This window comes from Homo sapiens, chromosome 7 (genome assembly GCF_000001405.40).
Source record: "Homo sapiens chromosome 7, GRCh38.p14 Primary Assembly".
NCBI lineage: Eukaryota > Metazoa > Chordata > Mammalia > Primates > Hominidae > Homo > Homo sapiens.
Window position 1 is genome coordinate 36430550 of NC_000007.14, and position 26573 is coordinate 36457122.

The window sequence follows — 26573 nt, forward strand, 5'->3', positions numbered from 1 at the left end:
TCTGACTTAAAGGAACCTCATAGGTATTTATACCTTTTAGGAAATAGAAATGTCAATTTAAATATTATTAGAGCAAACAATTTTGAAGTAAAACAACCAATTAGGATTATACAGTTTTGGGATTGAAGAAAATGGTTAGGCATTCTGGTATGCCCTGAACTATCCAGTTTATACCTGTTGGCCTTGTGTAATTATTAATGGTGCCCCTTTCACCCTCAAAAATATCCCAGCATATAACACATTACACAGTCTCCCTGGTTGTAGGTTATATTTTACAGCTCTTAACATAATCTTTGAAGTGTGGATGTCTTAAAAGACTCCTTTGTTAAACACAAAACAGAATAGGATCATACATTTTCACACAAGTCTCCCTCCACACTCAACTAGGGGGAGGGGTAGTAAACTTGACGTTTTTGTGAATATTTTCAATTTACTTCTTTATCAGGACAAGCTTCTAACCAAAAATATTGTCTACTTTTCCTCAGCTACAGAGTAAGAGGGCACATTTTCTTCTCATTGTTCTGATTTTTGTTATCAGTAGCATGCTCTGTGCTAAACAATGGAATTCTGTTAAATACCATTGAGAGGAAAGAGCCTAAGGAACTTAAAACTCACTGTAAGGAAAAGCAAAAAGGGAATTTTTACAAAATAGGATGATGAGGCATATGATGTTTTGGTTCTGCATTGTGGATCGGTTTCAAATTTGGGCAGTTGGAGGTTCATCTCATGAAATTAGTCTACTGAAATTTATACTTTTTGTCTTAGAATTCCCCCTTTAAGTTATCTTTGCTATGTTAGAGGGTCAAATCATTGGAAACTAATTATACTAAAAACTCAAATTTAGACTTAACTAAGATTAATCCAGTTGGGATGCCATTCTTTTTCCCTGGGCAATAGAAATGACAGACACTTCCATCTTCCTTTCTATCTTGACTCAGAAGTCAATGTTACTTTAGATATCTGTCTATCTATCTATCTATCATATATATATGTGTGTATATATGTGTGTGTTTGTGTGTGTGTGTGTGTGTGTGTGTGTGTGTGTGTGTATATATATATATATATATAATATATATATATATATTACCATTTTATTCTTGATTTCAGGGACAAATCATTGATGGAACCAATCCAGGCCTTGTATAACCAAAAGACTAGCAGTTGGCGTTTATCTTTTCCCTTCAAGGCTTGGGTGTTAGCAGCTTTATAGATAAGGGCAGTTCTGATCATAAACCCACTTACCTTTACACAAAACAGGAGTTAGCCTATCCCTTCTGCCTTAAATTCTGGTTCTCACTTCCTTGCTAATAAATGTCCCTTGTGGCTTTCTTTTTTCCCCCCCAGAATAGGGCACTTTTATCTGAATTAAAAATTTGTTCAGGTTGGGCACTGTAGCTCATACCTACAATCCCAACACTTTGGGAGGCCAAAGTGGGAGGATCGTTTAAAGCCAGAAGTTCAATACCAGCCTGAGCAACATAGATGATGAAAACAGTTTTTTTTCATCAAAGAATAAAAAAATATTAGCTGGGTGTGGTGGTACACACCTGTAGCCCTAGCTATTCAGAAGGCTGAGATGGGGGAATTGCTTGAGCCCAGAAGTTCAGAAGTTCAAGGCTGCAGTGAGCTATGATCACGCCACTGCACTTCAGCCTGAGTGACAGAGTGAGACCTTGTTTTGGAAAACAATAACAAAAAACAAACTTGTTCAGGCAGATATCCTTTTTCTTCACTGATTTTCTTAATGGTGTCTGGGAACTCATCTCCTGTCTCATTTGGTAGAAGCTGCTTCTTCTGTTGTATCTTGACATTTTTAAAGCCTCTTTCTAAAATTATCAAACCATCCTTTGCTGGCATTAAATATTCAAGTTGAAGATCCTTCACCTTCCTTTAATCCTATATTAGAGTCTATAGGTGTGTCTTTCTTATAGCAATCCTGCACTCACATAAAAACTGTATTTTCAATATAAGATCAAAATGTATTTCACAAAAAATGCATCTTTATATTTGTTTACATTTCTCCTGACTGAATGGTGCCATGTACAGTCTGTGTAAGTTATAGAAAACGTTTGCCAACTCGTAGTCTACCATTTTGTTATTTGTTTTCTATTTGTTTCGTCTGTTCTTTACTGCTTTGTTTTCCCTTTCCTGCCTTCTTCTGGATTAATTGAGTATTTTGGTAATCCTTTTTAATCTCCTCTTTTGGATTTTTTAGCTATACTTACCTGTTTTTGTTTTTGTTTTTTAAGGCGTTGGTAGGAAATAATGTATGCATCCTTACCTTATTAAAGTCTATTTTGAAATACTGTTACACTGCTTCATGTAACTTACAATATGAACCTCACAACAGTATAGTTCATTTTCCCATCCCAGTATATTTTACTTCTTTGTTATAAACCACACAATGCACTGTTGTTACTTTTTCTTTAATCAGTTTTTTTCTTTTTTAAGAGATGGGGTCTTGCTATGTTTTCCAGGCTGGCCGTGAACTCCTGGGCTCAAGCCATCCACCTGCCTTGCCTCCCAAAATGCTGGGGTTACAGTTGTGAACTACTGTGCCCAGCCTCTTGAATCAATTTTTAAAAGAAACTTTTATATTTTTATAAACTGGTCCTTATATTTACCATTTCTGGTGTTCTTCCTTCTTGTAGATTGAGAATTCCATCTGAAGTCATTGTCCTGTCAAGAAGAACTGTCTTTATTATTTCTTGTAATATAGTTCTGCTGGAAATGAAATCTCTAGGTTTTGTTTGTCCAGAAATATTTTTATATTGCCTTAATTTCTGAAGGATATTGTCACTGGGACTGCTAAATTGACAGGTTTTTATCTTTTCAATTCTTTAAAGTTGTTAATTTATTGTTTATGGCTTTAATTGTTTCTAATAAGAAGTCAGCCAGCCATCATTCTTTTCTGTTTTTTTATTTTGCATTTTTAACGGTTTGATTTTAATGTGCCTACGTGTAGTTTTCTTTGTATTTATCCTGTTTGGTTTCACTGAGCTTTATGATCTGTAATTAGTTGTTTTATAAGTCTTAGCAAATACTCAGCCATTGTCTCTTAAAGTTATTTCTTCTGCCCTGCTCTCTCCTTTCTGAAACTCCAGTTAATGTAGACTATTGACTATTTTTCTACAGGTCTGTGACATTCTTTTTGGTTTTCATTTAATTCTTTTTTTCTTTGTGCTTCATTTTTGATGGTTTCTATTTATCAGTTCTTCAAGTTCACCTGTTTTTTTCTTGATGTGATCTAGGCTTTGAAGCCTAGCCAATGCATTTTTAAATTCAGACTTTTTTTTAGTTCTGAAATTTTCATTTGGATTTTTTTTATGGTTTCAATTTCTCTGCTGAAGTTCTCCATTTTCTCACTAATTTTTCTCCATCTTTTCATCTAAATATTTTAATGTTGTATAAATGTTTTTGTTTTCTAATTCTAACGTTTAGATCATCTGTGGATCTGCTATTGACAGGATTTTTTTCCCCTTGATAAGCTCCGTGTTTTCCTACTTTTTCACATGTCTTGTAATTTTTTAACTGTAGGCCAGATATTATATTATAAAAGAACAGTAGAGACTGAAATAGGTAATACCTTGTTCTTTTGTCTTTCAGACAGTATAGATTAGGGACTGGTCTCTTATGTAATCAGAAACAGCTGAAATTAGGCTATGGATAGATTTGGTTCAAGTTTTGTTTTAAATGCTTTGAGAATGGTTTCAGGCCCCACTTTTGAGCAGAACTTTGAGATCTAAGTACTGCACGTCTACAAGATTTCTCTCTGCTTTTTAGACATGTCTTCAACCATCACTTCTCAGCAAAATTCCTGTTGGGGAGAATTGGCAGGTAGGGAGAGCTAGCTCTGCCTCTGCTTCTTGAGATGCCTGTCTACCTCAGCCTGGGCTCAACCATTGAAGGCTCAACTGGTTTCTCCTTTTCCCTGCAAAATTTGTTGCTTATGGCAAGGTTGCTCCTCTGCTAAGTTGCTAAGAATATTTTCTTACATGTTTAGGTTCCTTTTCTTTAAAAATACTTCTTTTTGGCCAGGCACAGTGGCTCATGCCTGTAATCCCAGCACTTTGGGAGGCCGAGGCGGCTGGATCACTTGAGGTCAGGAGCTCAAGACCTGCCTGGTCAACATGATGAAACCCCATCTCTATTAAAAATACAAAAATTAGCCAGGTGTAGTGGTGCATGCCTGTAACCCCAGGATTACAGGAGAGGCTGAGGCACGAGAATTGCTTGAACCTGGGAGGCGGAGGTTGCAGTGAGCCAAGATTGTGCCACTGCAGCCTGGGTAACAGAATGAGACTCTGTCTCAAAAACAAAACAAAACAAAACACTTGTTTTTGTTGTGTAAATGGACATGCATGAAAAATCACCTATAGCAACAGAAAGCGTATCATTGGTTTCCTGGAGATGGGAATACATGGAGGCAGGATTATGGGAGGGAGCTTTAGAGGGTGATGGAAATGTTCATTATTATGATTGTGGTCAAGGTTTCATGGGTTATAATATACATATATCAAAATTCATCAAACCCTACACTTTAAATATGTTCAATTTATTGTACTCAATATAGTTGTAAAAAGATTATGTTCAGTTAATTATAGACACCTTAAGTGTAGCATTCAGTGAGTTTTAACAAATGAATACACCTATATAACCAAAACCTAGTCAAGATAAGGGACATTTCCATCACTCCCATCTAGTCAATCCCAGCCACTACAGGCAACCATTCTTCTCATCTCTGTTTTCACCCTAGATTCGTTTTGCTTGTTCTTGAGCTTCATTTATTGTTTTTATTTTTTATTTTTATCTTTTAAAAAAGAAAATAGAGATGGTGGGGGGGGGGTCTCAGTATGTTGCCCAGGCTGGTCTTGAACTCCTGGGCTCAAGCGATCCTCTTGCCTCAGCCTCTCAAAGTTCAGGGATTACACATGTGAGCCGCCATACCTGGGCTTGAACTTCATTTAAGTGGAATCAAAGAATGTGTACTCTTTTGAATCTAATTTCTTTTGCTCAGCGTGATGTTTTTAAGATTTATCCATGGCCGGGCGCGGTGGCTCACGCCTGTAATCCCAGCACTTTGGGAGGCCGAGGCGGGCGGATCACGAGGTCAGGAGATCGAGACCATCCTGGCTAACACGGTGAAACCCCGTCTCTACTAAAAATACAAAAAATTAGCCGGGCGTGGTAGCGGGCGCCTGTAGTCCCAGCTACTCGGGAGGCTGAGGCAGGAGAATGGCGTGAACCTGGGAGGCGGAGCTTGCAGTGAGCCGAGATCGCGCCACTGCACTCCAGCCTGGGCGACAGAGCGAGACTCCGTCTCAAAAAAAAAAAAAAAAAAAAAAAAAAAAAAGATTTATCCATGCTGCTGTTTATGTTAGTAGTTCATTGTTTTCAAAAAATAATGTATTGAAATGAAATTCATGTAACCAAAGTAACAATTTTAAGGTAAACTATTCAGTGGCATTTAGTACATTCACAATGTTGTTCAAAATACCTCTGTCTAATTCGAAATATTTTTATGTCTCTAAAAGTAAAAAGTCTTACTCATTAAGCAGTCTTTGCCCATCTTCCCTCCCCCGAGCCCCTGACAACCATCAATCTGCATTTGGTTTCTATGGACATATCTATTCTGTATATTTCATATAAATGGGATCATCATACAATATGTAACTTTTTATGTCTGGCTTATTTCCCTTAGTGTAATGTTTCGGAAGTACATCCATGATGTAGCATGTATTAGAACTTCATTTCTTTTTATGGCTGAATAATATTCTATTATATGTATATACAGCATTTCATTTATCTGTTCATTCATTGATAGATATTTGGGCTGTTTCCGCATTTTGCCTATTGTGAATAGAGCTGCTTTGAACATGTGTGTGCATGATTTGAGTACCTGTTTTCAGTTCTTTTGTACGTATACATAGGATATACATAGGAGCAGAATTGTGGGATCATGTGATAATTATTTTTAGGAACTGCTAAACTCTTTTTCAAAGCATCTAGACCATTTGATATTTCTACCATTAATGTGGGTTCCCATTTTCCTACATCTTTTCCATTGTTTATTTTCTGTTCGTTTTATTTTTAAATTATAACCATCCTAGTGGGTGTGAAGTGGTTCCTCATTGTAGGTTTGATTTGAACTTCCCTAATGACTGTTGATGTTAAATGTCTTTTCATGTGCTCATTGGAAGACAAAATGTGTATCTTTGAAGAAATGTCTATTCAAGTCCTTTGCCAAATTTTCAGTTTGGTTTGTCTGAGTTGTTTTAGTTGGGTTGTCTTTTTGTTACTGAGTTGTAAGAGTTTTCTTTGTATATTCTGGATATTATCAGATATATAATTGACAAATATTTCAAACCATTCCATAGACTGTCTTTTCACTTTCTTGATAAAGTGCTTTGATGTGCAAAGGTCTATAATTTTTTTTATTATGGTAAATAATACATGGTATTTATCTTTTGAAGAAATTTTTAAGTATACAGTGAATTATTGTGAACTATAAGCATTATGTTATATAGCAGATCTATAGAATTTTCTTCATTTTGCATGACTGAAATTCTGTACTCGTGGAACTGCAGCTCCTCATATTCTCCTCCCCACTCCCTGGCAGCCACCACTGTAGTTTCTGCTTCTATGAGGTTGGCTACTTTAAAGATTTCATATGTTGCTTTTCAGCCTTTTGGATAAGGTCAAATGTAGATACTTCATGATAAGTGGAGTCGTGTAGTGTTTGTCTTTCTCTGACTAGCTTATTTCATTTAGCATAATGTCCTCAAAGTTTGTTCATGTTGTAGCATATGACAGGATCTCCTTTTTCTATGCTAAAGAATTTTTCATTGTATGTATGTACCGCATTTTTTTGGCCTCTTCATTTATTGATGGGCACTTAGATTATTTCCATCTCTTAGCTATTGTGAATAATGCTGCAATGAACGTGAGAGTGCAGATAGCACTTCAAGAACCCATTTCAATCCTTTTGATAAATACCTGGAAGTGGGATTGCTGGGTTATATGGTAGTTTTATTTTTTCATTTTTTTTTTGTGGAACCTCTGTAGTAATGAAAGGTTTTTAATTCTGGTGAAGTCTAATTTATCTATTTTTTCCTCATGTTGCTTGTGCCTTTGGTATCATATCTGAAAATCCATTGCTAAATCCATGATCACAAAGCTTTACCTCTATGTTTTCTTTCTAAGAGTTTTATTTTATTTTATTTTATTTTAAAAATTTTTTTTTGAGAGTTTCACTCTTGCTGCCCAGGCTGGAGTGCAATGGCACAATCTTGGCACACTGCAACCTCTGCCTCTGTGTTCAAGTGATTCTCCTGCCTCAGCCTCCCGAGTAGCTGGGATTACAGGCATGTGCCACCATGCTGGCTAATTTTTGTATTTTTAGTACAGATGGGATTTCACCATGTTGAAGGTGAAATCCCTTCAAGGCCAGGCTGATCTTGAACTCCTAACCTCAGGTGATTCACCCGCCTCAGCCTCCCAAAGTGCTGGGATTACAGGCGTGAGCCACCGCGCCCAGCCTTTCTAAGAGTTTTATAATTTTAGCTCTCATACTTAGGATATTATCCATTTGGGTTTAATTTTTATAAATGGTATGAGGTGAAGGTCCACCATCACTCTTGGTGGGTGTGGATATCTAATTTTCTCTGCACCATTTTTTGAAAAGGCTGCTCTTCCGCTTTAAATGGTCTTGGCATCCTTGGCAAAAATCAGTTGGCCATAAGATGTATGGCTTTATGTCTGGTCTCTCAATTCCATTTCTTTTGTCCATATGTCTGTTCTTATGCCAGCACCACACTGGTGTTTTTGATTTTGTTTCTTTGAGACAAGGTTTTGGTCTTTTGCCCAGGCCAGAGTGCAGTGGCATGATCATAGCTCACTGCAACCTTAAACTTTTGGACTCAAGTGATCCTCCTGCCTCAGCCTTCCAAGTAGCTGGTACTACAGACATCTGCCACCACACCTGGCTAATTTTTTCATGTTTAATAGAGACGAGGTCTCGCTATGTTACCCAGGCTGGTCATGAGCTCCTGGGTTCGAGTGATCCTCACTCCTTGGCCTTCCAAAGTTCTGGGATTACAGGCGTGAACTACCATGTCCAGCCAGCCCACACTGCTTTGATTACCAAAGTTTTGCGTTACGTTTTGAAATTGGGAAATATGATTCCTTCAACTTTGTTCTTAATTTTCAAGATTGATTTGGTTGTTTGGGGTCTCTTGCAATTACATATGAATTCAAGGACTGGCTTTTCCATATCTGCAGTTTATTGTTCTTTATTGCTGGGTGGTATTGTGTGGTGTGAATTTACAGGTTGGTTTATCAGTCTCTTATTGAGTATATTCTCCTGTTGATGGAGAATAGATAAACCCAAATATTGTCGTCTGTTTTCTTTCTCACATTAACTTGAGACTTAGGGCTTTTGGTTTTGTCAAGCTTTACCTTAAATGAATTTATTCTTCAAAAGTATTTGTTGGTAAGGAACCAATGGCTTTTTGGCCATGTCTTTTATACTCCAACTTTAGAAAATGCTCTGTTTTCAAGTTGTAATAGTCTCTGTTCATGATTTATACATGATTTATCAAGAAAAATCACACTTTGAACCTGTTTTGCAAATAATTTACCTGTTTTCTTTGCAGGTCCCCTTTTTATCTTCTTTGGAAGGTCATATTTATTTAAAAATAAAATGTCAAGTGAATTCCAGTGTTGAAGAAAGAGGTTTTCTAGTAAGTAACATCACTTAGTCTTTAACTTCCTTTTTTCCATTTTGTGAAATACAGACTTGTTTCCCATAGGAATGAAATCCTTTGTGATTAAGTAATAAGTTGGTTCAGTAAAGATTTGTTTTATGTCCTTTATATGCCAATCACTGTGCTGCCATTGGAATGTAAAAGACCACAAAAAATAATTCCTCTGCTCATGAGTTTTTAGTTTAGAAGAGAGAAATACAAACGAACAGACAAGCACAATATAATACTCTAATAGGAGAAAACAGGGTGCATCGGTGTCAATTGGTGGGACACCAGGTCTTGACTGTGTGTGGGGTGGGATAAAGGGAACTGCTGAGAGAAGTAATTTCTAAACTGAGTAAGTTAATCTGAGAGAAAGATGAGAAGTGCTCCAGATAGGGGGAGAATGTACAGTGGCTTGAAGGGCCCTTCTTTGTCACTCCTACCCAAAGAAAAGAAGAATGACACATGCAGACAGTGGAAGGTATTTCAGGATAGCTAGAGCTTAGAGTTTGAGGGCATGCATGTGATTGGTGGGTGGGGAATGAGGAGGAAAGTGTGGTTAGGGGAAATGGGGCAAGAGTTCAAGGGCCTTTTAAAGAATTTGGACTTTATCCTAGAGTCAGCGAGTTACTCTTACAGGATTTTAAGCAGAGGAAATTATCCAACTTGGGATTGAGAAAATCATTCTGACCAATGTGGAAAGCAGATTGGAGAATGACAACCCGAAGAAGACTAGTCAGTTCCCACCAATGTGGGAAATTTTAATGAGTTAAGTTTTACGTGATTTGAATTTTAGATGCCTGGAAACATGTGTGAAAGTTCTGGGTTTGGAGCTCAAGACAGACATTTAGTAGAGGTAAAGATGTGGATATCTGCAGCATGGGGAAGCCCAGGGCAAGTGAGGGAAGCAGAGCCAACTCACTGGAGGAGTGCCAGCATTGAAAGGACGGATGGAAGGAGGGAAGCCTCAGAGGAGACTGCAGGGAGAGAAACGGAGAATCTAGCATCATGGTTGTCAATAGAAGAGAACATTGAAAGGAGGGAGTGGTTGAGTTAGATCAGATTCTGTTAGGACTGTTGGACTTATTATTGGGTGATCATTCTGGCGCAGGTGAGGGCAGATGCTAGACTGCAAATGGGTCCAGAGTGAGTGGGAGATGAGGAATGAGCACAGGAGCTTGGAAACTCTTGGAAACACTTTGGCAGTGAAGGAGTAAGGAGAGAAGAGTGTTGTGCTTGCAGAGGTATGTAGGGTGAAAGGAGGATTTTGTCAACATTTTGTTAAGATGGGAGAGACGTAAGCGGCTTTAAATGTAGATGGGTAGCTTCTAATAGGGCCAAAGAGATTGAAGATAGAGGCCATGGAGGACCTGATCTAGGGCTTATGGGGTAATTCATAGAGCAAGGTCATGAGAATGGGAAGAATTAAGCCCAAGCCACAATTCACAGGATTTATTTGATACAGAATTTACAGTTTTCTCATTATCAGAGGAGGAAAGTATGTGTGTAGAATGCATAGAAGATTGTGAGTATGGTACAAGAAGTAGAGAAAATCCACTTGCTTTGGTGTTCTCTGTGAAGCAAGAACTTGAATGATGCAAGGGATGTTACAAGTCAGTTTGTAACTGCTGTCAAAGGTTCAGAAAGAAGAGCTAGATATTAAGGAAAGCCCGGTGGTCTAAGTAACTGTAGCCAACTTCCCAAGGATTGGGAATTGCTACTTATTAACAGTATTTTTTCCTTCCTTATTAGGTTTTATCACATATAAATCCAGCAGGTGGCACTAGATAGTCTTGGAAGAGTGTAAATTTCTGACTTGAAGGCAGTATTTGCCTAATGACCTTTTCTTTTCATGTAAACATTTTTATATTTTATTGTTGATGCCTTTAGCAATGGATAGGCTCTGTTAAGATAGCTGGTCCATTTGCATATAACGTCTCACCTAATTAGTTTTTTAGATGGGCTCTTAACGAGCTTGTTAGATCTCTTCAAGTTTACTCTGTCTTGAATCCTGTAGCCCATTCTTCTCACATTCACACTTACAAAAATGTAGTAAGAAAGAGCTCTGGATTCCCCGACATAACTTCTGTCCTCTGCCTAAACATTGCATTTTAATTGCCTCTACCCCCTATAAAAAATTAGAGGTAGTAATGGAAATGTAAGCTCCTCAGCTCAGCTTCCTTTCCTGATGTGCCAGGGCTGCCCTGGAGGAGGGCGACTCCAACCAAAGAGACAGGTAAGTGGTTCTGACAGGGTGCCGGGCTAGCTCTGCCTCCACTGAGGAGCAGCAAGAGGCAGGCGCTCTGGATTGGCAGCCAGAAGGTTCAATTTTTGTGGTCTGTGTGATGTCACTTAATTTCCTTGGCCCTCTGTTTCCTCAGCTATAGAAATGAAAAGGCCGTCCTTTTCTTATTCCTCTCTGATTATAGTATGATGTCATAATAGCTGGTGTTAATCTTGTTTATCAAAAGTTACCTTGTCTGTTTATTACCTTTATGATGTAAAAGGTGAACGTTAACACAGGAGGGAGCTGGTGAGTGATTTGTGTTAACTTTCATGCTTGAGATTGAAATAACGACATTCCTTTCTTTCTTCCTTGGGGAGCTGTAAGCAGTGTTGCCTAGAAAAAGGCTGCTTTGGGAGGAAAATGGAAGGATTAGGGGAGGAGGAAAAAGGTGAGGCAGGAGAGCATATGGTTGGAGCAAGCCAATTAATCTGAGGTGTCAATCTAGCTTGGTAACATTTGCTCCCACACGTCATGGCCAGAAATTAGACTCTTGATTCAAGCCACCTTTTGGGAAATTTACATAAAACAGTGAATTGAGAAGAGTGTATATCCTATTGTCATAGGGTTGGAGTAAGGACTAGTTGAGATAATTTAAAAATACTTAGAGGAGTAGTTGAGATAATTTAAAGATATGCTTAGAATGGTTCCTCACAGCAACAACCAAGTAATACTAGTTTATTCTTAGCTTCTCAACAATCAGAGAAGTAAAGTTGGAATATGAAGGTAATCTAAAATCAAACGCAAAGATGCCTTTGGATCATCTGTATCAGAGGGCAGCACAGCAGCCCTCACTGACTGTTTTTATAGTCTTTGATTGGAACATAGGCTGATCTGCTTACTTAGCATCTGTGACTGCTTCTGTGCCACAGCAGCTGAGCTGAGTAGCTGTGGCAGGGACCGTATGGCCCAAAGTCTAAAATATTTACTCTCTGGCCCTTATAGAAAAGGTTTCCCTGATCTACAGCATTGTTATGTTTTTACCTTGCTTTGTTCTTTAACACAGAAGTTCCCAGATGAATGTTGTTTTTTTTAATTTTTATTTATTTATATTTTTATATATTTTTTTGAGACGGAGTCTCACTCTGTCACCCAGGCTGGAATGCAGTGACGTGATCTTGGCTCACTGTAAGCTCCATCTCCCGGGTTCACGCCATTCTCCTGCCTCAGCCTCCTGAGTAGCTGAGACTACAGATGCTCACCGCCACGCCTGGCTAATTTTTGTATTTTTAGTAGAGATGGGATTTCACTGTGTTAGCCAGGACGGTCTCGATCTCCTGACCTCGTGATCCGCCCGCCTCGGCCTCCCAAAGTGCTGGGATTACAGGTGTGAGCCACTGCGCCTGGCCTTTTTGTTTGTTGTTTTTTTTTTTAAATTAAAAGTGAGGGCTTCTATATAGATTAGGGCTCTGTTATGACTATAACTAAAAAATAGTGGGGGAAAAACTCTTAGCTTCTACTTACCCTGTTTAAGTGGAAGTGCTTCCGTGGAACAAAACCAGATGTTATTAGTTGCCTATTCTGGAGCCCTGTTTCTATCCAGCACTACTGCCTTGCCTACCTTTAGCATATAGCTAGCATCCCTAAGGACAAACGCCTGATGGCAGGGAGGCACCACTTCAAGCGTGTCTCACGGCCCAGCAGTGGGCTTGGAGTTTTGATGTTTATCATGGTTATTGACCAAGGCTTATGATCATAAGTTAACTCTTTTCTAATCCTGTTAGAAAACTTGATCTCCTGAATAAAGATTAAATGCCAGTCTTGCATATTAAGATAGGTTTAACTTAATATGTTATCATTAATTTTTTAAAATATATAAGGTATGGTAATTTTGTATTATTAATTCTCCAACACTTGAGGCATTTCTGTTGTTTAAGGAGCATTTGATTAGGGACACTATACTTTTTAAAAGTCTTAAAGTAGGTAGAGGTATTTAATTTAGGGTTGATATCTGAATGTTTTTAAATGCTTGTAGATGATGTTGAAGTAAATTTCTGATATGAATAATCAGTGATTTTTATTATTAAGATAAAAGACATGATAAAAAAACATACAAATAGGTTTTGAGATATGAAATATGTCAACATACTACAGTTAGTGTACAGAATCAGCATTTCATTGTTAGGACATTTTCCTCAACTTTCTAAAGCCAGCATTTCAACTGACTTTTCCAGACCATATTTGAAGATGTTAGTGGTTTTGGTGCCTGGCATCGAAGATGGTGTGTTCTTTCTGGAAACTGTATATCTTATTGGACTTATCCAGATGATGAGAAACGCAAGGTAATTTATATAGTACTGTTTAGTGGTGAAAGCCCTGATTGACTTTCGTGTAGTGTTCATGCAAATGTTCCCTCTGGCCCCCATCACTCACCCAAATTAATAACCCTTTTTGTGTACTCACTAAGCCATTAAAAATGTTCTTGTTGGCCAGGCGCAGTGGCTTACGCCTATAATCCCAGCACTTTGGGAGGCCAAGGCGGGCAGATCACCTGAGGTCAGGAGTTCGAGACCAGCCTGGCCAACATGGCGAAATCCTGTCTCTGCTAAAAATACAAAAATTAGCTGGGTGTGGTGGCAGGTGCCTGTAATCCCAGCTACTCAGGAGGCTGAGGCAGGAGAATCTCTTGGATCCAGGAGACCAAGGTTGCAGTGAGCCGAGATCACGCCACGGCACTCCAGCCTGAGCGACAGAGCAAGACTCCATCTCAAAAAAAAAAAAAAAATGTTTTTGTTGTAGGTGTGTGTGTGTGTGTGTGATAATCCTTTAAAATTTTTATATCCTATCCATTCCCTATGATTTGACCACTCTTAAAATACCTTAACATGTATATTTTTCCTTCTTTTCTACTGGATGTTTAATTATATTTTTTGTTGACATTTGAAGTTGGAAATGTTTTAAATTTAATTTTTTATCTTGTTAGTTAGGGTAAAACAGTAATGGAAACCCACCCACAGGAACAGTGGTTTGTATTTTGTTTCTAAAATTTAATAATAGGATTTTGTGTAATATATCATGTTTTTAAAGAAGTTAATATCATTGCCCAAGTAACATTATTTATTATCCCCAAACTGGAAAATAGAAATAAGCAGAATTAAAAAGGAAAATCATCCATAATAGACATAGCTATTGTTCATATTTTGGTTAGATATGTTTTCAAACTTTTAAAATGTATAATATATAATAATTATTCATTTATGAATCTTTTTAAAAGGAAAAGCATGCTTTTTATAATCTGATTTTTTACTTGATAAAATATTCTAACATCTTTCAGCATCAGTAAAGATAAGTCTAATGCTGTGTTGGATAGCTATGTGTGTTACACTGTAGTCATTACAATTATTAATATTTTAAAAATTTGTGAAATGTTTGAGACATCCAAAAGGGCGTAAAATAATTTCATCAACCTCTGTGTTATTATTCCAGTTGAAGCTCCCCATGTAATTCTCTCTCCCGCAGAGATAACTTCTACCCTAAAATTGTTTATTGTTCCCATGCACTTATTTAAATTTTTATTATACAGATTGAATATCCCTTATTCATAATCCTTGGGATTTAGAGGCGTTTCAGATTTGGGATTCTTTTTTTTTTTTTTTTTTTTTTTTTTTCAGATTTTGGAATATTTGCATTATACGTGCCAATTAATTATCTCCTAATCCAAAAATTCAAAATCTGAGATGCTCCAATGAGCATTTCCTTTGAGCATCATGTTGACTCTCAAAAAGTTTTGGATTTTGGAGCATTTCAGATTTCAAGATTTTCAGATTTTGGATGTTTAACCTGTACATGTATATAAACAATATATGTTGCTGCAATTGCATGTTTTTAAACATTATACAGATAATAACATATTGTATGTATTATTCTGCAACTTGCCTTTTTTGGGTCAGTATGGTTTGTGAAATTTGTCTGGGGTGGTATGTGTAGCTTTAGATTGTCCCCTCTTCTCTGTATAGTATACTTTTGTAAGAGCACATTACAATTTATCCATTCTCCTGTTTAGAGACCCTTAGATTATTTCTAAATTGTTGTATACAGACAATGCTGCTGTGATTCACTTTCTTCTCATTTTGTTTTGGTTTGTACCTTTTACAGCCCACATGCAGGAAGATTTAGTTTCTTGTACACATGGATGAGAGTTCTTTTTTGAATGTTACCTAGTAGCAGAATTGCTGGGTTGTAGGGTTTGCACATCTACAACTTGATTTTGTCAAATGAGTCTCAAAAGTGGTTGTACGATTTTCCATTCCCACCAGGAGTATTTGAAAGTTCTCAGCTTTTCATATTCCCACCAATACATCATATGTCAGCCTTTTAAACTTCCATCAGTATGATAGATGTGAAATATACTCTTATTTAAAAAAATTTTGTATCTTCTTGATTACTAGACTAAGTATCTTTTCTAAGCATAAGAGTGTGTATGGCCATTTATATTTTCTCTCGTATGAACTGATTGTCTCTATATTATTCATTTTAATATTTTTTGATGCATTGCAATTATATTTCCCTAGTCTTAGGCCTGGCGTATCTTTTAATTTATCTTTATAGTGTCTTTTCATGCACAGACTTTTCTAATGTTAAGGTAATCAGACCTGCTAGTCTATTGCTTTGTGCTTTTTAGGGTCTAATTTAAGAAACTATCCTTATCCTGGAGTCAAAGATTTCTTTTATACCTCTTTCTAAAGTTATAGAGTTTTATACTTCACATTTAATTTCCCTAGAATTGATTTTTTTTTTCATCTGAATAACCAATTGGGCCAGCATCATTGAATGGTTTGTTCTTTCCCCACTGTGTTAGGCCATTCTTGCATTGCTATGAAGAAATACCCAAGACTGGGTAATTTTTAAATTGGCTCCTGATTCTGCAGGCTGTACTGGAAGCATGATGCTGGCATCTGCTTAGCTTCTGGGGAGGCCTCAGGGCGCTTTTACTCACAGCAAAAGATGAAGTGGGAGCAGGTACATCACATGGTAAAAGCAGGAGCGAGCGAGCGAGCAAGTGAGCAAGGGGAGGTGCCAAACATTTTTAAACAATCAGTTCATGCGAGAACTCATTCACTATTGTGAGGACAGCACCAAGGGGATTTCTTGAGAAATCCGCCTGCATGATCCAGTCACCTCCCAGTAGGCCCCACCTCCAACACTGGGGATTACAATTCAACATGAGATCTGGGTGAAGACAAATATCAAAACTGTATCATTCACTGATCCACAATGCCATTTCTCATGTGTATCAAGATGTCATTATATGTGTAGGTTTATTTTTAGGCTCACGGTTCTGTTTCCTTTGGTCTGTTTCCCTATCCCAATCTCAATGACCGTAGCTTTAAAATAAATCTTAATGTCTGCTAAGGCCAGTCTCCTAACTTATGGAGTAATGTATAGTAGTTCCCCCTTATCCTTAGTGGACGCGTTCCAAGACCGCCAGTGAATGCATGAAACCATAGATAAGTACCAGACCCACTTGCCATCAGTCATAACACGTTTCTGTTGATGTCTTACACCCACAAATTTAATGCCTTTTGTATTTTAATTAAGCACTTACCATTTACTGTGGTGGTAACTTTTGCAGTTGGAGATGTGACAACGAAACTAGCATGAATTTCTTTTTCTTTCCTCACAATTTCATGGATAGAAGATTTATTCTTACTGTAGATCTTGACAACCTCAGCATACGATTTTTTTTCTCTCCTTATTAAGTTGAAGACTTTCACCTTTTCACTTAAAGGAAGCACTTTATGGTTTGTCTTTGCATATCTACTCTTGCACTTTGGGGACCTTATTAAGTCAGATAGGGGCTACTTGAACACAAGCACTGCATACTACAGCAGTTGATCTTTTTTTTTTTTTTTTTTTTTTTCTGAGACGGAGTCTCGCTCTGTCGCCCAGGCTGGAGTGCAGTCGCGGGATCTCGGCTCACTGCAAGCACCGCCTCCCGGGTTCACGCCATTCTCCTGCCTTAGCCTCCCGAGTAGCTGGGACTACAGGTGCCCGCCACCATTCCCGGCTAATTTTTTGTATTTTTTTAGTAGAGACGGGGTTTCACCGTGTTAGCCAGGATGGTCTTGATCTCAGTTGATCCTATAACTCAGAACGCTACTAAGTGACTACTGAGCAGGTAGCAGGTAAGGCGTGGATACGCTGGACAAAGGGAGGATCCACATGCCAGGTGCGATGGCAGGAGATTACATCATGCTGCTTAGAATGGCATGCAGTTTAAAACTTACGAATAGTTTGTTTCTAGAATTTTTCTTTTAATATTTTTCAACTATGGTGGACTGTGGGTAATTGAAGCTATGGAAAGTGAAACCATGGATAAGTGGGGGGCTACTGTATGACTATTCTTGGTCCTTGCTTTTTCCATACACTGCTGCACACACACACACCCCCTGCCATCACCTCATGGAAATATATATACATATATGTTTCACTTTTTTCTTTTCTTTTTTTTTGAGACAGGGTCTCGCTCTGTTGCCCAGGCTGGAGTGCAGTGGCACGATCTCGGCTCACTGCAACCTTTGCCTCCTGGGCTCAAGCGATTCTCTGCCTCAGCCTCCCGAGTAGCTGGGACTACAGGCAAGCGCCACCACGCACGGCTAGTTTTTGTATTTTCAGTAGAGATGGGGTTTCACCATGTTGGCCAGGCTGGTCTCAAACTACTGAGCTCAAAGGTATCCGCCTGCCTCCACCTCCTGAAGTGTTGATATTACAGGCATGAGTCACTGCACCCAGCCCTGTTTTGCATTTTACAGTTGAAAATGTTCAAATGTACACAAAGCAAAAATAGTATAATGAACTTTCAGCTTAATTAATTATTCGTTTTCAGGTTTCATTTATCTCCCCACAACACACATGCATTTTTGTTTTGTTTTGTTGCTTTGCTAGGGTGTTTTAAAGCAAATACCAGAATTTATATTCTGTCATTTCTAGGTTGCAGGTCTTAAGTGTTGGCAAATGCCCCAAGGGAAGTCAGGGTTTCAGACTAGCTTACTATTCTTCATTCTCCCTTGCTCATTGATTTTGGCCTTTGAAGGATTTTTCTACTTTCTTGTCAATTTAATTATCTAGCATTTGGCGGCTTATATAATGGGAGGATTTTCAGACTATTTAATGTATCATATTTGCTGGAAACAATACCATGATTTATTTAAATAGTCCCCTATTACTGTCATTGAATTTGTTTGGAATTTTTTGCTATTATGAAAAAACAGTGACTACACATATTAGAATCTGTGTGTGCATATTTATATATTTGCTTCGGATAAATTTAGGTGAAACTGTAGGATCAGAAAATGCTCATTGTTAATGGTTTTTGATTACTGTTATCAGGTTGCCTACGAGTAATAGATCATATTATACTTTCACCAGTGATGCATAAGAAACTGTATTACTCACTCCCTAACCAATCAACAGAGGTTGTTACTGTTTTTTCCAGACTTAGCCAATCTAAGGTTTTAAATTGGTATGTTCTATTTTTATTTTTAAAAATTCTAATAGAGTTGACACACTTATTGGCTGTTGGCTCATGTGTGCCTATATGTGTTTCTTTTCCCATTTTCAGGACCATTTGGTCTCGTGAATGTTTTCCTCCACTTTGACTCGTATCATAGGAATTCATGGCTGCCAACAATCCAGGGCAGTTGTCTGCCCTTATCTTTCATAGATATATAAAGAAATATTTACACATGAAATCCAATGTCTAGGTTTCCTTTTATAGAAAGGGGAGAAGTGGGTAAGTTGTAGATAAAAGGCACTTGAGTGTGTTTCTCATTGTTATAGCTGGTTTTGGTACCTGGGGCTCATTATACTGTTGTTTGTATTTTTTATTTGAAGTTCACCATAATAAAGAGCTTTATAGGATAGTTGGCAAGAGCTACCAGTTGATATTTTTGGGTTTTATTTTTATGTCTAGCTAGGAACAATAATAAATGTTAAATATGTTTCTCTAAGCCCAGTGTAACTAAATTTTAACTTTTAAATAATAGCTTTTTAATATTTAATTTGTACCAACTTAAATGCTGCTTAATGCTTACTGACTTAAATAGTCTTATTTTCTACTAATTTCTCTTAATTTGTTTTTAAAGAATCCCATAGGAAGGATAAATCTGGCTAATTGTACCAGTCGTCAGATAGAACCAGCCAACAGAGAATTTTGTGCAAGACGCAACACTTTTGAATTAATTACTGTCCGACCACAAAGAGAAGATGACCGAGAGACTCTTGTCAGCCAATGCAGGGACACACTCTGTGTTACCAAGTATGTATTGGCCTATAAATATTTCTATCAACTAAGCAATTGATTGCCCACTATGTACTTACCACTATGAGAAATATCACAGATGGTCCTTGACGTTGAAAAGGGCACAGCCTTAGTGAGAAAACAAAACACACACAAAGCAGTAAGTGAACCATCTATAATAACTAAATTAATGTAGTTAAGGAAAGTATAATACTCAGGTTGTATCTTAGCTAATGTTTTCCAGTATGCTCACAGTGGAGGCATTTTCATGGCAGTTAGATAATAATCTTTGGGTTAAGTTTAAAGATTTCATGCGTAGTTGAGGAGTCAAGCATTATTCAAAGAGACTTTACACATCCCTTCCTTCCATTCCCAGAATACCCTCGTGTAATCAGATGACTCACAGAAACAATCTCATTCTATTCTGCAAATTTCTGGATGGAGATTAACAGAATAAAACTTTTGGGAGTGCCCCTTTTTTAATTAACCCTGATCTCAAGTGTAAGATACGAAGGCTTATTGCTAGGATTCTAAGATAGGTTTCTTTGCTTGGATGCCTAAGAGAAGCTTGAAGACCAACTTCAGTGTACAGAGTTGTCATTAGGGACAAAAGTTAGAATTTGATAAGATGTTTGGTAATTAGGCTGTTGCTGGATATTGCAGATGGGGGGAGATTGGTAGGACTAGCTTTATGAGTTTCTAATGTGAAAATATTAGAAAGCTACAGCCAGGAGACACAATACTAAAATAGAACAAAGTTGCCCAGAGACTGCCGATTTGTTTTAAAATAGCTAGATAGAGGACTCATTTGATGGAAATTTTTGATGTCTAGATTACTTCCAGATTTATTCATTTTAACTCAATTATTTCAGGGGCCTTCTATGCAGTGGTGGAATCAGACAGGGCAGGACAGGCAAAATGGATTTCTAATCATTTTGTTTGATAGCGACGTGTCCATGGTCACGGTCAGTGGAGGAACCAACCAAAGTGCAGTATCCAAATAGTTCCTGACCACAGCGGCCCACTTCAGCCATTTTGAATATCACTTACATTTTTTTGTATAACCTTATTTTTTACTGGTTGCGTAAACTCTCTTAGACTTCTCCGTAGACCTTCCCCTGTGATAAAAATAGCAGATTACATGTTGCTTTAATTACTCTGTACCTCATGTACTTGTAGTCTTTCTCACTATAAAATTATAACTTGGATGGGTACCCTTCGCCCAAGCATATGAGAGTAGTACATTCTCAATTCAGTCTTGGCTGAGTCTTCAGCTTTGCTTGGTGACCTAAAATTTATTTTACTTTTTTGATGGTGAGAATATAAACATTCTGCAGTTCTGCATTCTCCTTTGCCTCACTGATGTGTTTCCTTACGGGGCCTTGGGCCTTTTGGACTTAGGCCTTTTACTTGAATTTAATGTACCTCATTTTCATTTCTACTAACTAAGCTTGTTGTCAATGCTAAAGATTTTTCTTCTGATCTCTACTGCATACTTCAAAATAGAGACTACACATTGAAACCAGAATGTTTTATCACATGGGGAGGCAGTAGTTACAGTGGAGCTTTGAAGTCAACGGACTTAAGTTTAAATCCTGACTCATCAAATGTAACCATGGCAGGTCACTTAACTTTGCTGGCCCTCTGAAATCTTTTGTGTCAAAAAGGAAAAATAACCTCCACAGTGACTAGAGATTTTTTTTATTTTTATTAGCCTCTTGAACCAGAATAGGTTCACAGAGACTTCAGACAACAGAGATGAATGAGTAAACACACTTAGCACAGTTTCCAGTACATGGAATGAGCTTAACAAGTGGTGGCTATTATAAGTGCAGTATTTTCTTCATTGACTACCAGAAGGTGGTAAACTTCACTTATTCATGTTTACACCATTTCTAGTACCAATGGGGAGAACTTAAAAAGTTGTAGAATGAGTGCAATATAAAAACCTAATGGCTGGCTGTTCTCTGGAAGCATGTTCTGGCTATGAGGTAGGGAATCCCCCCTTCCTTACTCTGGCCTGCCCCATCAACTAGTTATTTAGTCAACTTGTAGCTAAATATGGATGAAAGGAAAATATTCCTAATATGGACAGAGAGGTTAGGATAGACAAAGTCTTAGGATCTTTTGATAGTTTATTTTAAAATCATGTTCTACTAATATAGTAGGACAAATCTAATGGGACACAGTGCAAACTAATATTACCTGTAGAGCCAGGTGAAGGTCCATGGGTCTGTGATTGCAGCTTTTGGAGAACCTGACTCTGAAGGTTATATTGGGAGTGCCCATATTCAGGGAGTGCCTATAATCAGGCCTTAGGTGCTCTTGCAGAGAAGTTGCCCACACTCAGTGGGTGTCCTATACCATCAGGTTACCCAGGCCGCACACTACCTGTATAAAACACCTGTTGGAAACACCATCCTTTACCAAGTGTAATTAGTGTAAGTTAGCATCAATTAACCAAACTGGGGATAATTTTCCTCTGTTTTATTTGGAGATGCACCTCACTAAGTGGCTGTGGATTAGCATCCATAAAAGGTGGTTAAAGGTAATTCATTTACTGGTTTATTTAGTCATTTTTTTCCCTAGCAAGAGTACATGGGGGTATGGAATGGAGGGAGAAGAATTCTGACCTCTTTGGTTGTTTGTTCCTGTAGGAACTGGCTGTCTGCAGATACTAAAGAAGAGCGGGATCTCTGGATGCAAAAACTCAATCAAGTTCTTGTTGATATTCGCCTCTGGCAACCTGATGCTTGCTACAAACCTATTGGAAAGCCTTAAACCGGGAAATTTCCATGCTATCTAGAGGTTTTTGATGTCATCTTAAGAAACACACTTAAGAGCATCAGATTTACTGATTGCATTTTATGCTTTAAGTACGAAAGGGTTTGTGCCAATATTCACTACGTATTATGCAGTATTTATATCTTTTGTATGTAAAACTTTAACTGATTTCTGTCATTCATCAATGAGTAGAAGTAAATACATTATAGTTGATTTTGCTAAATCTTAATTTAAAAGCCTCATTTTCCTAGAAATCTAATTATTCAGTTATTCATGACAATATTTTTTTAAAAGTAAGAAATTCTGAGTTGTCTTCTTGGAGCTGTAGGTCTTGAAGCAGCAACGTCTTTCAGGGGTTGGAGACAGAAACCCATTCTCCAATCTCAGTAGTTTTTTCGAAAGGCTGTGATCATTTATTGATCGTGATATGACTTGTTACTAGGGTACTGAAAAAAATGTCTAAGGCCTTTACAGAAACATTTTTAGTAATGAGGATGAGAACTTTTTCAAATAGCAAATATATATTGGCTTAAAGCATGAGGCTGTCTTCAGAAAAGTGATGTGGACATAGGAGGCAATGTGTGAGACTTGGGGGTTCAATATTTTATATAGAAGAGTTAATAAGCACATGGTTTACATTTACTCAGCTACTATATATGCAGTGTGGTGCACATTTTCACAGAATTCTGGCTTCATTAAGATCATTATTTTTGCTGCGTAGCTTACAGACTTAGCATATTAGTTTTTTCTACTCCTACAAGTGTAAATTGAAAAATCTTTATATTAAAAAAGTAAACTGTTATGAAGCTGCTATGTACTAATAATACTTTGCTTGCCAAAGTGTTTGGGTTTTGTTGTTGTTTGTTTGTTTGTTTGTTTTTGGTTCATGAACAACAGTGTCTAGAAACCCATTTTGAAAGTGGAAAATTATTAAGTCACCTATCACCTTTAAACGCCTTTTTTTAAAATTATAAAATATTGTAAAGCAGGGTCTCAACTTTTAAATACACTTTGAACTTCTTCTCTGAATTATTAAAGTTCTTTATGACCTCATTTATAAACACTAAATTCTGTCACCTCCTGTCATTTTATTTTTTATTCATTCAAATGTATTTTTTCTTGTGCATATTATAAAAATATATTTTATGAGCTCTTACTCAAATAAATACCTGTAAATGTCTAAAGGAATCAGTTGTTTAGGAAGCACTGTTTCAATGTGTGGCATGGTTGCTCTGCATCCCTGGGCTGGGAGCTTCTTGAGGGTACTGTGCTGACAATGTCTCATCCATCTTTTTCTCTCTACCCAGTTTGGCTTATTGTGTGTTCTTAGGGCTGCTATTGAATGCATAAGTGAATGAAGGATCTATTTCTGAGGCATTTCAACTGAATATGGTAATTGGATGTGCATTTGAGGATAGGGAGTATAATTCCCAAGTCTTTAGCAGATACTGAATGGATGAGTGATATCATCAGCCAAACAGGGAATAGGTTTGATGGGACTGATAAGAAGGTCCCTTGTATTTATTTATAGACTTGCATTTATTTTTGAGTAGGCATTAAAGGGCACAAAAGCTTGGTACAAAATTCAGAATGCATAAAGAAGGTAAAGTTAAAAAGCAAGTCTTTTCCTACTGTCATAACTACTTTTACCAATGTTTATGTCCTGCCAGAGGCCACTACACATATTGCATACAAATATTTATATTCTTCTGTTCATAAAAATATTCTATACATACCATTTATTGTAAGTTAAACAAAAAGTATAACAGTATTCCTTAGAGATCATCTAAATATATAGATAGTATTTATAAAATTCAACTTTAGAAGAAATTTAGCTTAAGGTGATTGTGGGACCTCAAGCTAGAAATACTCCGTAAACAGTAGAAAATGTCACTCTGAAGATTTCCAGTGTCATCTGCCTAAGGGGGATTGTTGAAACTATTGGAGTGAATAAGATCATCCAGGGAATATGATGTGGGAAGAGAAGAAAGAGAAAAAAGAACACTGTTCTTTTTTTTTTTTTTTTTGAAACAGGGTCTCACTCTCTCCTCCAGGATGGAGTGCAGTGGCACAGTCTCGGCTCGCCGCAACCTCTGCTTCCCGGGTTCAAGTGATTCTCGTGCCTCGGCCTCCTGAGAAACTGGGATTACAGGCACACACCACCATGCCCAGCTAATTTTTGTATTTTTAGTAGAGGTGGAATTTCACTGCGTTGGCCAGACTGGTCTTGAACTCCAGACCTCAAATGATCCTCCTGCCTCGGCCTCCCAAAGTGCTGAGATTACAGATGTGAGCCACCACGACTGGCCTGAACACTGTTCTTAAGGGGAAAAGTAGAAAAGACAAGTCTAATGATTGTCTTCTATGAAAGAAAAACAAGAATGGTGTCTGGTGAGACCAAAGAAGAAAAGATTTTGGCCGGGTACGGTGGCTCACACCTGTAATCCCAGCGCTTTGGGAGGCTGAGGTGGGTGGATGACCTGAAGTGAGGAGTTTGAGACCAGCCTGGCCAACATGGTGAAACCTTGTCTCTACCAAAAATATAAAAAATTAGCTGGGCATGGTGGTGCGTGCCTGTAATCCCAACTACTTGGGAGGCTAAGGCAGGAGAATCACTTGAACCCAGAAGGCAGAGGCTGCAGTGAGCCGAGACTGTCTCAAAAAAAAAAAAAAAGATTCTGACCACAAAATCATAAAGCAGAATAAAGAAAATGTGAATTGAAATTTGGAGCAGTCAGTTGAACAAAATGGTTCAGATAAAAAATCAGATTACAATAAAATCTGTATGGAAAAAGAATGACAGAATTGATTGCGTTAAAAAATCTGATAAATATCTAGAGTCAAAACACTAAGCAACAGACAAAGGGAGAATATTTATAACATATTTAATAAGGCATTGATAAAAAACAGAGCTCCTATGCAAGTGTAGTGGCTCATGCCTGTAATCACAGCACTTTGGGAGGCTGAGATGGGAGAATACTTGAGGCCAGGAGTTCAAGACCAGCCTGGGCAACATAGCAAGGCCCTGTCTACAAAAAAAAAAAAAAAAAAAAAAATTAGCTGAACATGTTGGCACATGACTGTAGTCTCAACTACTCGTGAGGCTGAAGTGAGAGAATTGCTAGAGCCCAGGAGGTGAAGACTACAAGTGAGCTGTGATCACCCCACTGCAATCCAGACTGGACAACAGAACGAAACCCTGTCTCTAAAAAAAAAAAAAAAAAAAACCTCAAAATTAAAAAAATAAAAAGAACCAACAAGTGGTTCACTGTTATCACATTGGGAATTAAGTAAAAGAAAAACAAAAGAGCTCCTATGACTGGCTATCTGTGAGCATTTACTATGTGCCAGGCGTTATTCTTGGTGTTTTGCATGCAGTATCTCAGATCATCTTCATAAGACCTTATCAAATAAGCGTTGAAGCTAAAGTTTTGCTCACTTTTCTGAGGTCCCACGTTGAGCAAGTGGCAGACCCAGATTTGCACTCAGTCTACTCCAGAATCCACATACTTACACTCTGCTGTTTCTCAATAAGAAAAAGAAAATTTAACCTAAAGAAGAGGGGCAAATAATATTAGCAGGAATTGCATACACACAAATCCAAAGAGCCGGCAAACATGTAAAAATAATACTAATAAAAATACAGATTTAAATGGCAATGGGTTATTGGCCCACAGGTGGTGAAACTATAACCAACATTATTGAGAAACGAACTTACGCTCTTGGTGGGAATAGAAACTGAAACAGCCTACTTGGATGGCAACTTGGTAACTTAAACAGGAATCTACTAACACACAGGATCAGATTGTCAAATCTGACTTCCATGCATCAGAGATCTTACCCCTATCAAGCTTTACTCATAGTTTCAAAGACACAAGGAATCAAAAAGCCCTGGCAAAGCAGGGAGAGGCCTGCATCATCCTGCATGCCTCCCAGGGTCTCGTTCCCACAGGAGACACCTGCTCTGTGGCCCAGGGTAATAGATGAGATCTCAAGGAAGGGTTGCGGTCCTCTCACTCAGCAGGGAGGCTTTAGGTATGGAAACATTGCATTTTATACCCTATATGGTATAGTTTTTGTGACTTTCTCTTAGGAGTCTTGTCTCACAAATCCATAAGTTCTAAGTTTATTTACTGTAAGCAACCCTTAACCAGCTATATCCTACTAAGCACATTCCACAGATAAAGAGTTCTCTCAGCAAATACCATTTGTCTGTTTACTAGGAGGTTCAGTTCTTAGCATGTTTACCAGGAATTTCCTTTACCGAAATCAAGGGCCAGCTGTGCTAACTCCCCACTTCTCAGACAAACTTTCATGTGAGCATAGATGTGTATAAAAGGATGATCATTACAATACTGTTTTTATCTATCTATCATCTATCTATCATCTATCTATCTTCTATCTATTTATCATCTACCTGTTTATTGGGATAGAGTCTCTGTCACACAGGCTGGAGTGCAGTGGTGTGATCTCAGCTCACTGCAACCTCTGCCTCCCCAATTCAAGCAATTCTCCTGCC

General features: G+C 37.9%; 1 protein-coding gene across 9 annotated transcripts in view; it reads left to right on the forward strand.

Annotated features, from left to right (window-relative positions):
- Window positions 1-23242, forward strand: part of ANLN (anillin, actin binding protein) — a 63930-nt gene extending 40688 nt beyond the window's left edge. For all 9 annotated transcript variants that reach the window (XM_006715746.3, NM_018685.5, XM_017012354.3 and 6 more), the window contains 4 exons: window positions 8655-8741; window positions 13206-13313; window positions 19116-19288; window positions 21928-23242. In XM_006715746.3, the coding sequence (XP_006715809.1) occupies window positions 8655-8741; window positions 13206-13313; window positions 19116-19288; window positions 21928-22051 (492 nt within the window). In that variant the 3' untranslated portion in view covers window positions 22052-23242. The remainder of the gene's footprint in view (window positions 1-8654; window positions 8742-13205; window positions 13314-19115; window positions 19289-21927) is intronic.